Source organism: Homo sapiens, chromosome 5, assembly GCF_000001405.40.
Source record: "Homo sapiens chromosome 5, GRCh38.p14 Primary Assembly".
Lineage (NCBI taxonomy): Eukaryota > Metazoa > Chordata > Mammalia > Primates > Hominidae > Homo > Homo sapiens.
Window position 1 is genome coordinate 170,028,361 of NC_000005.10, and position 12,060 is coordinate 170,040,420.

The 12,060-nt window shown below is 43.5% G+C and overlaps 1 protein-coding gene and 1 non-coding gene across 3 annotated transcripts in view; both read left to right on the top strand.

The window, feature by feature from the left end:
* DOCK2 (dedicator of cytokinesis 2) overlaps positions 1-12,060 on the top strand; it is a 446,108-nt gene that overhangs the window by 391,086 nt on the left and 42,962 nt on the right. For both annotated transcript variants that reach the window (NR_156756.1, NM_004946.3), the window contains 2 exons: positions 6,039-6,195; positions 8,155-8,195. Coding sequence is in view for 1 of the 2 variants with exons in the window: in NM_004946.3 (NP_004937.1) it covers positions 6,039-6,195; positions 8,155-8,195 (198 nt within the window). In the remaining variant the exon portion in view is untranslated. The remainder of the gene's footprint in view (positions 1-6,038; positions 6,196-8,154; positions 8,196-12,060) is intronic.
* On the top strand, positions 128-206 carry MIR378E (microRNA 378e). Its single transcript, NR_039609.1, has one exon. It is a non-coding gene; the product is annotated as a microRNA 378e (primary transcript).

Consider the following 12,060-nt stretch of genomic DNA (forward strand, 5'->3'; position numbering starts at 1 on the left):
ACACTTACTCCCTTTGATGCCCATTTCACAGAGGTGGGCCCTGAGGCTGAGGGAAGTAAGCACATTGTTCAAGGAAACTAGGACGAGCTAGTGGGGTGGACAAGCTGCATCCTGAACCTGGCTCTGCCTGACTCCAGTGTCCAGGCCAGGGGCAGACAGTGGACAGAGAACAGTGCCCAAGACCACTGGACTTGGAGTCAGGACATCATTTTAACAGCTTTATCGAGATGTAATTTACATGCCATACAATTTACCCAAAGTGTACAATCATTGACTCTTAGTATGTTCACAGAGCTATGTAACCATCACCACAATCAATTTTACAACATTTTCATTACTCCTAAAAAGCAAACCTGCACCCCTTAGCCACTGCTCTGCCAACACACACACACACACACACACACACACGCGTGCGCACACACACCCAAACACTCCCCCATCTCCCCTAGCCCTAGGCCACCATTACTCTGCATTTTGTCTTGCCTATAATGTTTTCAAGGTTCATCCATGTTGTAGCATGTTTCAGTACTTAATGCCTTTTAATTGCCAAATAATATTTGGTAATTAAAATATTTGGTACCATATGGATGTACCCCATTTTGTTTATTCATCTCTCAGTTAATGTATATTTAGGCTGTTTCTACTTTTTTACTATTCGTATTGATTCTTCTGTGAGCATGCAGGTACAAGTTTTTGTGTGGACATAACGTTTACAGTTCTCTGGGGTATATACCTAGAAATTGAATTGCTGGATCATACGGCACCTATATTTGACCTTTTGAGGAATAACCAGACTATTTTCCAAAGTGGCAGCTCCATATATATTTCTACCAGCAATGTATAAGGGTTCCAATTTCTCTACATTCTTGTTAACACTTGTTAATATCTGTCTTATTGATTACAGCCACCCCAGCGGGTGTAAAATGATATCTCATTGTGGTTTTGAATTGCATTTCCGCGATGTGTAGAATTCATTGATTTTCAGTACACTCACAGGGCTGTGCATCTTTCCATGTGCTTATGGGTCGCTTGTATATCTTTGGAGAAAGACATTGGGTTTTGATCCTGGCTCTACCACTTAGCAGCTGCAAGACTTCACACAAATCACATGAGTCTGGCCTCAGTATCCCCATTTCTGAAATGGGAATAATAAGCTCCTGTGGTTATTGTGAGAACTGAATAATTATAAAGCATCTGGCACACAGCAGGTAAATGCTTCATAAATATTCTTCCATCTCCAGGACTTGCTCCCAGTTTCTGTCTTTGACAGCTTGGTAATTGCCCCCTTCTCCCGCGAGGCCTTCTCCTAAGGCTTAGGAACATGACCCAGACATCCCCACTTCTCGCTAAGTGCATATTCTCTGATTTCTATAATTCTCTGAGATCACTCTGGTTTGGATTCTTTCTTCAATCCTTTTTGAATGTTTTAAATTCAATAAGAAAGGCAAACTGAAGGCCTTGCTCTGACCCCCTACAATGAGCCTCTCGACCCTGCCCAAGCAGGCAGAGCCCAGAGGACAGGATGGCGCCCCAGGCAGTGCCATCTCAGCTGGCCCCTGTCCCCTTCCTGTCACCATGCATGGCCCTCACTAAACACTTAGAATGCAAATGCCATTTGGCCAGAAGGAGAAACCCACTGTCTGCCCCTCAGGTGGATATGGAGACTGATGTATCTGGGGGGAATAAACAATATTCTGGCTGAGTCAGTGTTTATCTTAAAGTTCTAAACAAGAAAATCAAAATATTGACCAGAAGTGAAGCAATGTACAGTGCTGGCAATTTCCATTTTTATAAGCGGATGGGGCTCTGCGGCGGTCTTCAGATGATCAGCAGGGTTTTCAAATCCTTCCTGAGTGATTATTTATAAAAGGAGTCCTTAGAGGTCAAAGAAATTAAAGACAGCTCATTATTTTTCTCCTGAAACAGAGGTGTGAATGATTTTTGCACAAAACAAATCAAGCCCGACACAGGGAGCCAGGTCCCCATCAGAACATCCATGGGGCCCCTGTGCCTGCTCCATCCTTTCACCTCTCTGAGTCTCAGTTTTCTTATCTGAAAATTGGGGATAAAATATTATCGAGCCCTTAGAGTTTTTGTTGGGAGTCTAGCAATATTAATTATTAGTAGTACAGATTGATTAGGCCTTATCTGAAATGCTTGGGACGAGAAGTAGTTTGGATTTGGGATTTGTTTTTCAGATTTTGAAATAATTATACTTAATAGTTAAGTGTCCCTAGTCTGAAAATCCAAAATCCAGAATGCTCCAGTGAGCATTTCCTTTGAGTGTCATGTTAGTGCTCAGAAAGTTTGAATTTCACATTTTCACATAGAGGACAGTCAATTTGTATTACTTACAGGTGGATAGCATTGCGGGTTTTTGAAGCCATGAGCCTGCCTATCTTTTCTCCCCTAGGCTAGTCATCTCAGTTCCTCCAGCCTTTCCTCCCAGCCCCTCTTTCAGGGCCTCACTGATACACAGGGCCCCCACTGGGCAGATACAGTCCTGTGGGCACATGGCTTGGATGGGGCCTTGGTGAATAGAGCAGAGCTACTCCCCCTGTGGCAACTGCAGCCTTGCATAGGAACACAAGGTTTAAGGCATGGAGTGGGGCTGAATTTCAGTCCTCATGTGCTCTGCGCAGTGCACAAGCTATATAACCTTACACAGCACTCCAGTTCTCCCTACCCTCAGAGCTCTCTTTGGAGCCCACGCTCATTGATCCACGTATATCTGAAAGTGTAAGTCTCACATTGAATGGATTCATAAGACACACCGCTGCCTTTCTGTATTTCATTCCTGCGAATAGTTCTAGAAGTGGTGAGGGAATCGGAAGGTTGAAGCAGATAGATGTATGTTCTTGGGCCTTTATCCTACCCAGACCCTTTCAATCCCTGGAAAAGGACCTGTCACAGGTCATTTCATTTCATTTCAAGGAATGAAAGAAAGTCCAGTTTCATTAGCACTGACAGAGAGGGGGAGTCTGGGATCCTCCCTCTAAAAGCCTCCAATGCCAAGTGAAAATCAACTGCAGGGAGGAGTGAGCCCCCTCTAGTCCTCCCACAACAGGAGCAGAAGCAGTGTGGCAAGTGTCCACCACCCTTCATTCCACTGCGTGAGGAATTACCTATATTTTCTTATGATTCCCAAAGCTTTTGTCATACTCTGTTGTGGGATTACAAGGTAAACAATTAAACAGGCTTAGCATGCGGTCTGGAACACAGGAAGTACTCAATAAGTGGTAGTATCATTATATATTATGGTTAATTTTTATCTATGTTTCCCATGCTAGACTGTGATCTCCTGGAACTCTGAATCCCTAGTTTCTAGAATGCCACATGTTGAGTGGAAGGATGGATAGTGGATGGATGGGTCATTTCTAGCCAATTTTCCCATCCATTTCACCAATCCTAGATGGTTTGAGCACCTTTCTTGCTCCATGCATAAAGAATAGGAAAAGAAAGAAAGCCAAGACCTTTTTCTTCTAAACCCTGGTTTCTCCAAGTGTGGTCCATTGACCCGCAGCACTGGTATCACCTGGGAGATTGTTAGTAAGGCAGCTGCTCAGGAACCAGCCCAGATGTGATGAATCAGAATCTATTAACACAATGCCCCAGTGATCCCCATGCACATGGAAGTTTGCAAAGTCTTGGACAAAACCAGTTGTTCTTTTTTTTTTTTTTTTTGAGACGGAGTCTCGCTCTGTCGCCCAGGCTGGAGTGCAGTGGCGCGATCTCGGCTCACTGCAAGCTCCACCTCCCGGGTTCACACCATTCTCCTGCCTCAGCCTCCCAAGTAGCTGGGACTACAGGCGCCCACTACCATGCCCGGCTAATTTTTTGTATTTTTAGTAGAGATGGGGTTTCACCGTGGGAGCCAGGATTGTCTCTATCTCCTGACCTCGTGATCTGCCCACCTCGGCCTCCCAAAGTGCTGGGATTACAGGTGTGAGCCACCGCGCCTGGCCCCAGTTGTTCTTAATGTTAGTTCCATGTTGGAATCTCCTAGAGAATGTAAACAATAAAATACTGCTGCCTGGGTCCCACCCTCAAAGATTCTAAGGTTATTGACCTAAGTTGAGCATTGGGCTTTGTAAAAGCTCCCCTGGTGATTCTATCATGTGACCAGGGCTGAGAACCTCAGGTCTGGCCAAGCTCAGACCCCGAGATGTCTCCTGCCCTGGAAAGCTTTAAAAAATCACACACCAAACACTGGGAAGAAGCTTTGTTGCATTGTCATTAGGGTGGCACACAGGGCTAGAAGTGACTGTCCCAGGAGGAGGCATGCACAGCTGTGGCTGAGCCAGACAGGTCTAAATCACAGGGCCATTTGCATCTCCCATTGAGAGCCAGGGAACAGGTGCTTCTCCCAGAGTGAAGATGGATTTGTCTTATCACAGCCACAGTTTGAGACGTCGCCTTCTTGCAGCTTGGCTTGGCTTCTTGGAGGAAATGACCCTCAGAAGTCCTTGCTTTTCTTACCTTTACCCTCCTAAGGGCCCCTGGAGAGTTTCAGTTCCATGGGGAGAGTAGACAGATACAAATCACGTGGCCTGCATAATGTCTACTTGAGATACCTGGGAACACGCTCTGGTGTTTCTCTGTGGGAAAAATATCTCCCCTAAATTTAACAATGATTGGCTTGATTCAACTTACTATCACACTGATACTGGGAAGGTCCTTTAATCTTTCTCAGCCTTCATTTTCTCACCTGCAAAATGGGGGAAATAATTCTCACTTATCAGAATTACTGTGAGGATTTCTTAAGAAAAGTGACTAGTACAGTGTCTGGCACAGAATAAGTAATTAAGAAGAAATAGTCATCAAACAAAATTTTAACCCATCTGTTTCTCCCCACCTAGTCTGTGGGCTGCCAGACAGTAGGTGTGGTTCTTTTCTATATTGATGTCTTTCTCTCTACCACACAATGCCTAGCAACTAATAGATGCTTAAAGATGTTACATTTTTATTTTTGTTTTTAAAATTTAGAATATAAATACTAAAACAAATATTATAATTTTAAAAAATAATTTACACATACTTAAATAGAAAAATGGAGGCTTTTCTTTCCTATTTTCCCACCTAAAGCCTTGTTGGAAACAGCCATCACTACGAGTTTGGTGTCTATCCTTGCTGACTGTACATGGCACTTTATAAGCACATAGAGACACATGATGGCCATGTACACTTGCACACACATGCAGTGTTCGGCAGTAGAGACACGGATGCTGGGGCCAGACTTTTTGATATTCCTGACCATGTGACCTTGGACAGCTTAGTGGACCTCTCCATGCCTTCGTTTCCCTATCTACAAAAGTCCCATCTCATAAAATTGTGACAGGAGGTTAAATGAGTTACCATTTGCATGAGGTTTAGAATAACACCCTGGCCATGCTAAGCTCTATGTTAGTTGGTTAAGTGAAAAGCAAATATTGTTCTGAGACTTACTTTTCTCACCTAGCTCTATATTTTATAGAGCTTTTCATGCCCAGACATATTGAATCTCTCCAATATTTTTAATGTCTTCATAGAATTCCATTTGGTGAATATACTGTAATTTATTTAGGCCTTTCCCAATTGATGAGCATTTAAGATGGTTCCATCTATTTCACTATTAGACACATTTGTGAGTATTATATCTTTGCATACTTCTGAGAATATTTCTGTAGAACAGATTCTGCAAAGTAGAGTTGTGGGGTCAGAGGATATGTGCATTTACAATTTTTACAGATACTTTGAAAATTGCTTCCCCAAAAAAGTTTTCTTGATTTATTCTCAGCAGGGGTGGGTAAAAGTGACCATCTCCCCCACCATCATTATCTATATTGGAAACTATTTTATTTTTATTTTTTCCCATTCTGATGTTAGAAAAAAAATTGCTGCACTATATGGATAAATACATGAATAAATGAACAAAAGGAGCAGTCAGGGAACTTGGGTTGACTGACTGATTTTGCATGTGCTCCATCCCACCGCCCACTGGCCCCAGCACAGTCTTTCTCCCCAGCCATGAGCTCACTGCCCTCTGGTCTCTGCCGCAGCCTGATGGAATGTGCTGCAGAGCACCCAACCATTGCCAAGTCGGTGGAGAACTTCGTGAACCTGGTCAAAGGCCTCCTGGAGAAGCTGCTGGATTACCGGGGTGTGATGACAGATGAGAGCAAAGACAACCGCATGAGCTGCACCGTGAACCTGCTGGTGCGTGGGGCTGGCGGGTCCAAGTCAGACCAGAACCCTGTGGGGGGGCTTGGGCTTGGCTTTGGGTCTCACGATTGTTCTTCATAGGGAAGCAGTGCTTAAGGGCTTTGGAAAGCAGACAAATGTGGAATGGAACGTCTGCTGCGCTTTCTGCTAGCTTTGTGTCTTGAGGCCGTCACTTCACCTTTCTATGCCTGCCTCCTTATTTATAACATGAGATTAATGCATATTCCCTTTAGCACTCAACACATCACATGGAAGGAAGATGACAGTATAGACTGGCTAAGAGTATGAGCTTTGGAGTCACACAGCCTCTGGGTTTCCATCCTATATCTGATAATTAATGGGATGGACAAGCTAAGGAAATGTTCTGAAGTCTTAGTTTGCTTATCTATTACATGGAGAAAATAATGGTTCCAATTTCATTAGGTTGTGTTGCCCTGGCCCATGGTTAAATGCTCACTACGTATTAGTTTCCTTCTTCTTATAGAATGGAGTCACACTAATAACTAGAATTGCTGTTACTATGAACCAGGTTAACCAGAGAAGCTAACCCCAGACCCAAGTTCTTAACCCCTATATTCCATGAGCTCCCATGGGCTGGCTGCCAAGCAGCCTCTCTCACACGCTCTGTGATTCGACCAGGAGACAGGTAGGTAAGCAGCCATAATGCTTCATATTCACCGTGTCATCCCACCTTAAAGTGGTTTAAAAGAATGAAGTTGACCAAAAGGCCACGTGACATCCATCACATCAACCTCCCTACCATTCCCAAGGCTCCTGAAACACAAAACCTGTCCCCAGAGCTCTGTTGTGTGGCCTCCCTTTACCCTAAATAGACTTTTTTTTTCAACAGCCTAGATATTGCCATTGATTTTCTAGAATGCCAAGGAGAGTTTAAAAATCCCGATGACAGCAGAAAGGAATTCATTGCTAATAACTCCACCAGGCCCAGTTTACATAAAGATCATGAAGAGGTGTTTTCCACGAGCTGAGCAGCTTCTCTCTAAGGAGAGACAGAGTTGGTTGAGGAAAGTGACCTTTAACAGCCAGCTAAGATCAGGGAGAATGCTTGGGACAGACAGTTCTCCAAGCACTGAGACACCACTAGTTTTTAGTGCATTGCTTAAATATGGTGTCAAGGAGGAGGGTGGGGATGGAGGTGGTATCAGGACAAATGATGTCCAGTATGATTTGCCACCCATTGACTGTGTGCTCTGGAACATGTCACCACCCTTCTCTGACCCTCAGGTGCACGTGGGTGTGCTGCATTAAACCAGGATATACACCTGGTGTGGCTCATGGATTGGACCAGGACCACCTGGCTCAGAATCTGTAGGGACTTGTTTAAAAAATGCCACAGGATTAGGATCTCTGGTGGTGAAGTCCAGGGCAGCTACTAATCTAAATGGCCCCTGAGCTGGAATAGGGACCTAGATTCCTACGTATTGCCAAGTTTAAATGTTTTGGCGACAGAATCCCATATAATTCCTGATAGTTCTGCACTATCAGGAATTCTGATCTCTTACTATTACCGAGGTGCTACCACTCACTTTCCAACTCAGGTTCTTTCCAGTGCAAGGCCTGAGCTTTGAAACATCAAGCTGGGCTGCCTTTCAATGTGGGCCTGGTTAAAGTAGACTACCCCAGTCTTGGCAGCCCACCTCTCAATGCAGCAAAACACTGAACTGCCCCTCCTGATATGTGATGGCTGAGACACATCAAGTCCTCTCTGTTCCTTTATAGTCTAAGGGTCAGGGAAGTGACTTTCAAAGCAGAATCTTCCAATTAGGCTGTTTGATGCATCTTTGGGGCATCCAGGAAAATAAGTTTCTTATTCCTATCTCAGGGTACCCAGATACTAGACAGCAATCTTCCTCTCATCTTCATCACCACACCCTTGACCGCTGTGATATTGCAGAGAACAACACTCATCATTGTTTTTCCTCCCCTACCTAGAATTTCTACAAAGATAACAACAGGGAGGAGATGTACATAAGGTAAGATTCATATTTTCTAAAATCCAGACCTGCTGTGTCACTTTCCTGCTCAGTATCCATCGATGGCTCCCTGCTGCCTTCAGGATAAAATTTAAACTTCTCTTCTTGACATTCAGGCCCTCTGTGTTCTGATTCCTGTCAATTTCTCCAGATTCAATTCCTTTCATTCTCCCACAGTCAGCCCCATAAAACCACGTGAAATCGTCTGGCCTTCCATGCTGTCCTGTTGTTCCCACAGATCATATTTTCCTTAAGAGTGAATACTTTGTGATTTGAACTGTTGGGGTGCATTTGCATTGTTGCGGGCCTGACCTTGGATAAATTACTGTGAAGCCTGAGTCCAGACATGTAGTAAGACCATTGACTAGCCCAGTTTTGAAGGGAAAAAAAAGATACTAAGATGCATGATATCTGCATCCTTGTAGGCATTTAAATGATATTATTTGAATATATCATGAAGGTTTTTTGGGGACATTAGCCTGAAGCAAAGAACTCCTTTGCCAGTTTTTCTCAGAATCTCATATTTTTTTCTGCAATTTAAAAATTATTGTTACTTTTATTTATAATAAAAAATATATACTTATTACAAAACAAAAATAAACTTATAAAATATGGGCAAGCAACACAACAAATGAAATAAATTCCCATAATCCATACATATTTCCAGGACTTTTTTATATTTATATATACATTGAATTCTATGCATGCATATTTTTTGCAAAAATGGGTTTATATTACTTGTAATTTATTCTTTGCTTTTTCTAACTTGACAAGAACTCCATGTTGACAGATGTATATCAACATCATTTTTAATGAAACTATAAAATTTTTTCCAGAATATATCATCATTTATATAGCCAATCCTATATTGTTGAACATTTAGATTGTTTCCAACTTTTTCTACAATAAAAAGCACAAAAACAAATTTTTTTTTTTTTTTTTTTTTTAAAGACAGAGTTTCGCTCTTGTTGCCCAGGCTGGAGTGCAGTGGTGCCTATTCAGCTCACTGCAACCTCTGCCTCCCGGGTTCAAGTGATTCTCCTGCCTCAGCCTCCCGAGTAGCTGAGACTACAGGCCTGCACCACCACACCTGGCTAATTTTGTATTTTTAGTAGAGACGGGGTTTCACCATGTTGGCCAGGCTGGTCTCGAACTCCCAACCTCAGGTGATCCACCCACCTTGGCCTCTCAAAGTGCTGGGATTACAGGCGTGAGCCACTGCGTCCGGCCACAACAACAAAATTCTTGGACGTATACCTTTATGCACATCCTTATGAGGCTGGAGCCCTTGAGGTAGAGTCAACCAGAAGATTGAGGAGCAAGGTATTTACAGGGCTTTTGTCACATTCTGTCAGAGGGCAGAAACTTCAAGTCTACGCTCACTCTGCTATTACGGCAGATATATCTAGGTACCTAGTTTAGCATTACTCCAGAAATAGGAGCTATCATTTGGAGAAAAATAATTTTATAGGTTGTCCTGAGTTTGGGATATTTATAACATCACTAGTCATACCTTATTGTAGCAGCACAAAGCTTTGGGGTCTGAAGGACCTCGGTCCTTGCCTCACTTTTTCTGTAACCTTGGATAAATTACTCAATCTTTCTGGGTTGAGGTTTTCCTACCTGTAGAATGTTTCCGTCCTACCTTCTGTTTTGAGGATTAAATGAAGTACTATAGGTAATATGGCTGCCACATGGTTTCCTCCCTCCAACCTTGTTTCTCCCCTTCTCATTTTAGAAACACAGACGGCAAATCCCAGACCTCCACAAGCTTTGGAGATTTGAGGCCCGTAGTAATCTAAGAAAACCATATTTATCTAAACCAGACTGCAAACAGGGTATAGTCTGAAAATCTGTTCTGTTTGGCAGGCAGAATATTTAAAAACATTTTTAATTGGCTGCCAACATTTAAAAATCTGGAGATTTTACATAAAAATCAAAATTTCCCTTTTCTCCTGGAAAACTCAGAAGGTGTGACAACACTGGGCCCTCGTCCTATTCTGACGACTGTTAGCCGAACCGGGTGGTGGCAGCCATTCTGGACAGGCCTGGAGCACTGTCATCACGACATCATCTCTATTCCCTACTGTGCTACTCCCCGTCCACCTCGCTCAAGCACCTGCCATCTGGAGGTGCTTGAGTTTGGTATCCCTGGTTGAGGGACGTCTTCTTTTTACTAGGGTGCCTTCTTTTGGGTTCTGTAGCAGATCATCAGACCCTTGAGTTAACAAGGAAGAGGAGAGGGTGCCAAAGGAGGAGTTGAAAGTAGCAGGGAAGCTCTCCCCTGGGCTGCTCTCCCCAGGTTTTTTGAACTCAGCCATCTAGGGGTCTAAGGCATCGAGGATGGGCAGGAGGAGATAAGGCAGAATTAAGCCATGTGTGCACACACAGGTGTTTCTAAATTCCAAACTCTCTACATGGAGGTCATGTGCAATTTCACGGTTAACTCCGATTGGCAGAACGTTAGGCGGGAGGAAAGTGGAAAGGCTGTGTCTGTGAAAGCAGAAATCACTAAGCTTGAAATCTGCTTCTGGCTCTGGCTCTTTTAACCTGGATCTCAGTTTTCTCATCTTAACAGAGTTATTGGAAGGATGAATTGATAAAAATACATGATAATAAAACACCCATTTTTTGAATGAATGAATGAACAAATGTTTCTGCCTGGGAAGCTCTCCCAACTCATCCCCTTCCCCTTCAGATCAACTGTTATGCCATGGGAACCTTTTTAGAAGCCCCTCTTCTCCCCACCTGGATAAAGCGTGCTCTCCTAGTACCATAGACCACTCCTTCACAACACATATCATCGCTGTGTTCTTGCTGTTATGTATCTGATGATTTGATTCATGCCTGTCTCTTCTCCTAGACTCTAATCCCAAACCCTGAGAACAGTGCCTGCGTTTGTCACTGTTTATCTCTAAGGCCTGTTATAGCCTGGATGCCCGGTACAGCTTTGCTGAATGAATAAGTGAATGAACAAAAGACTGCCAGGGCATCCCAGCACAGCAGCTATCAAATCACCACTAGGTGACCTTTCCTCGCCTCAAAATCTTTGGCGGTCCCTGCCCTGATTTCAGGCAGCCTACATTTGACCCACTGACCCATTTTATGTGGCAGGAACACTGAACATTCACTTCTCCTTTGGTGAGCTTCGTGCAGAAAGCCTTTTTCCCAAAAGGAAAATAAACCAGAGCATTGAGACACGCATTGAGTGGAGATACCCGAGAAACCCTGTGTTCCCTGGTGTGAGACAGTGGGTCAGGGTAGAATGCTGGCACCATGGCAGGCATTCCCTGCCTCTCCTCTCACATGAAGAAATTAGCATATCCCCTCACCACATTACTTAGAGTTGGGTTTAAATAAATCCTGCTAATGATATGCAGGTCACCGATGCAGTGGTTCATTGCCTCTGGATTCTGTTTCCAACGGTGGCAGGAGAGAATGTTTTGTAGAGGAATCTAGTTCACAGTGATAATAGGTAATAACTGTCACTGCTCAGTGCCGGCTACAGGCTAATCACTTTCAGTGCATACTTGCATTTCTTAGCAGCAATGCAAGCTGTCATGTATTGAGCCTTTTGTAAGACACACATGGTCTCCTTGGCCCTTTATATGCCCAGTCACTTTATAGATAGGTTCTGTGAATGTTGCCATTTTACAGATGAGCAAACTAAGGCACAGAGAAGTTAATTCACTGCCCCTTAATACCTATTATGGATCAGTTATCTAAGAATTTTCCAAAGCGCCCTTCCTTTGTCCTTGTTCTCATCCTCAGTACCCTCAGTTATATTGCCATCTCATGGTTCATAACTGGGATCTCACTTTTCAAAGGGACAGGAAGTTAAAATGTGACTGCAGTCAAATAGCTA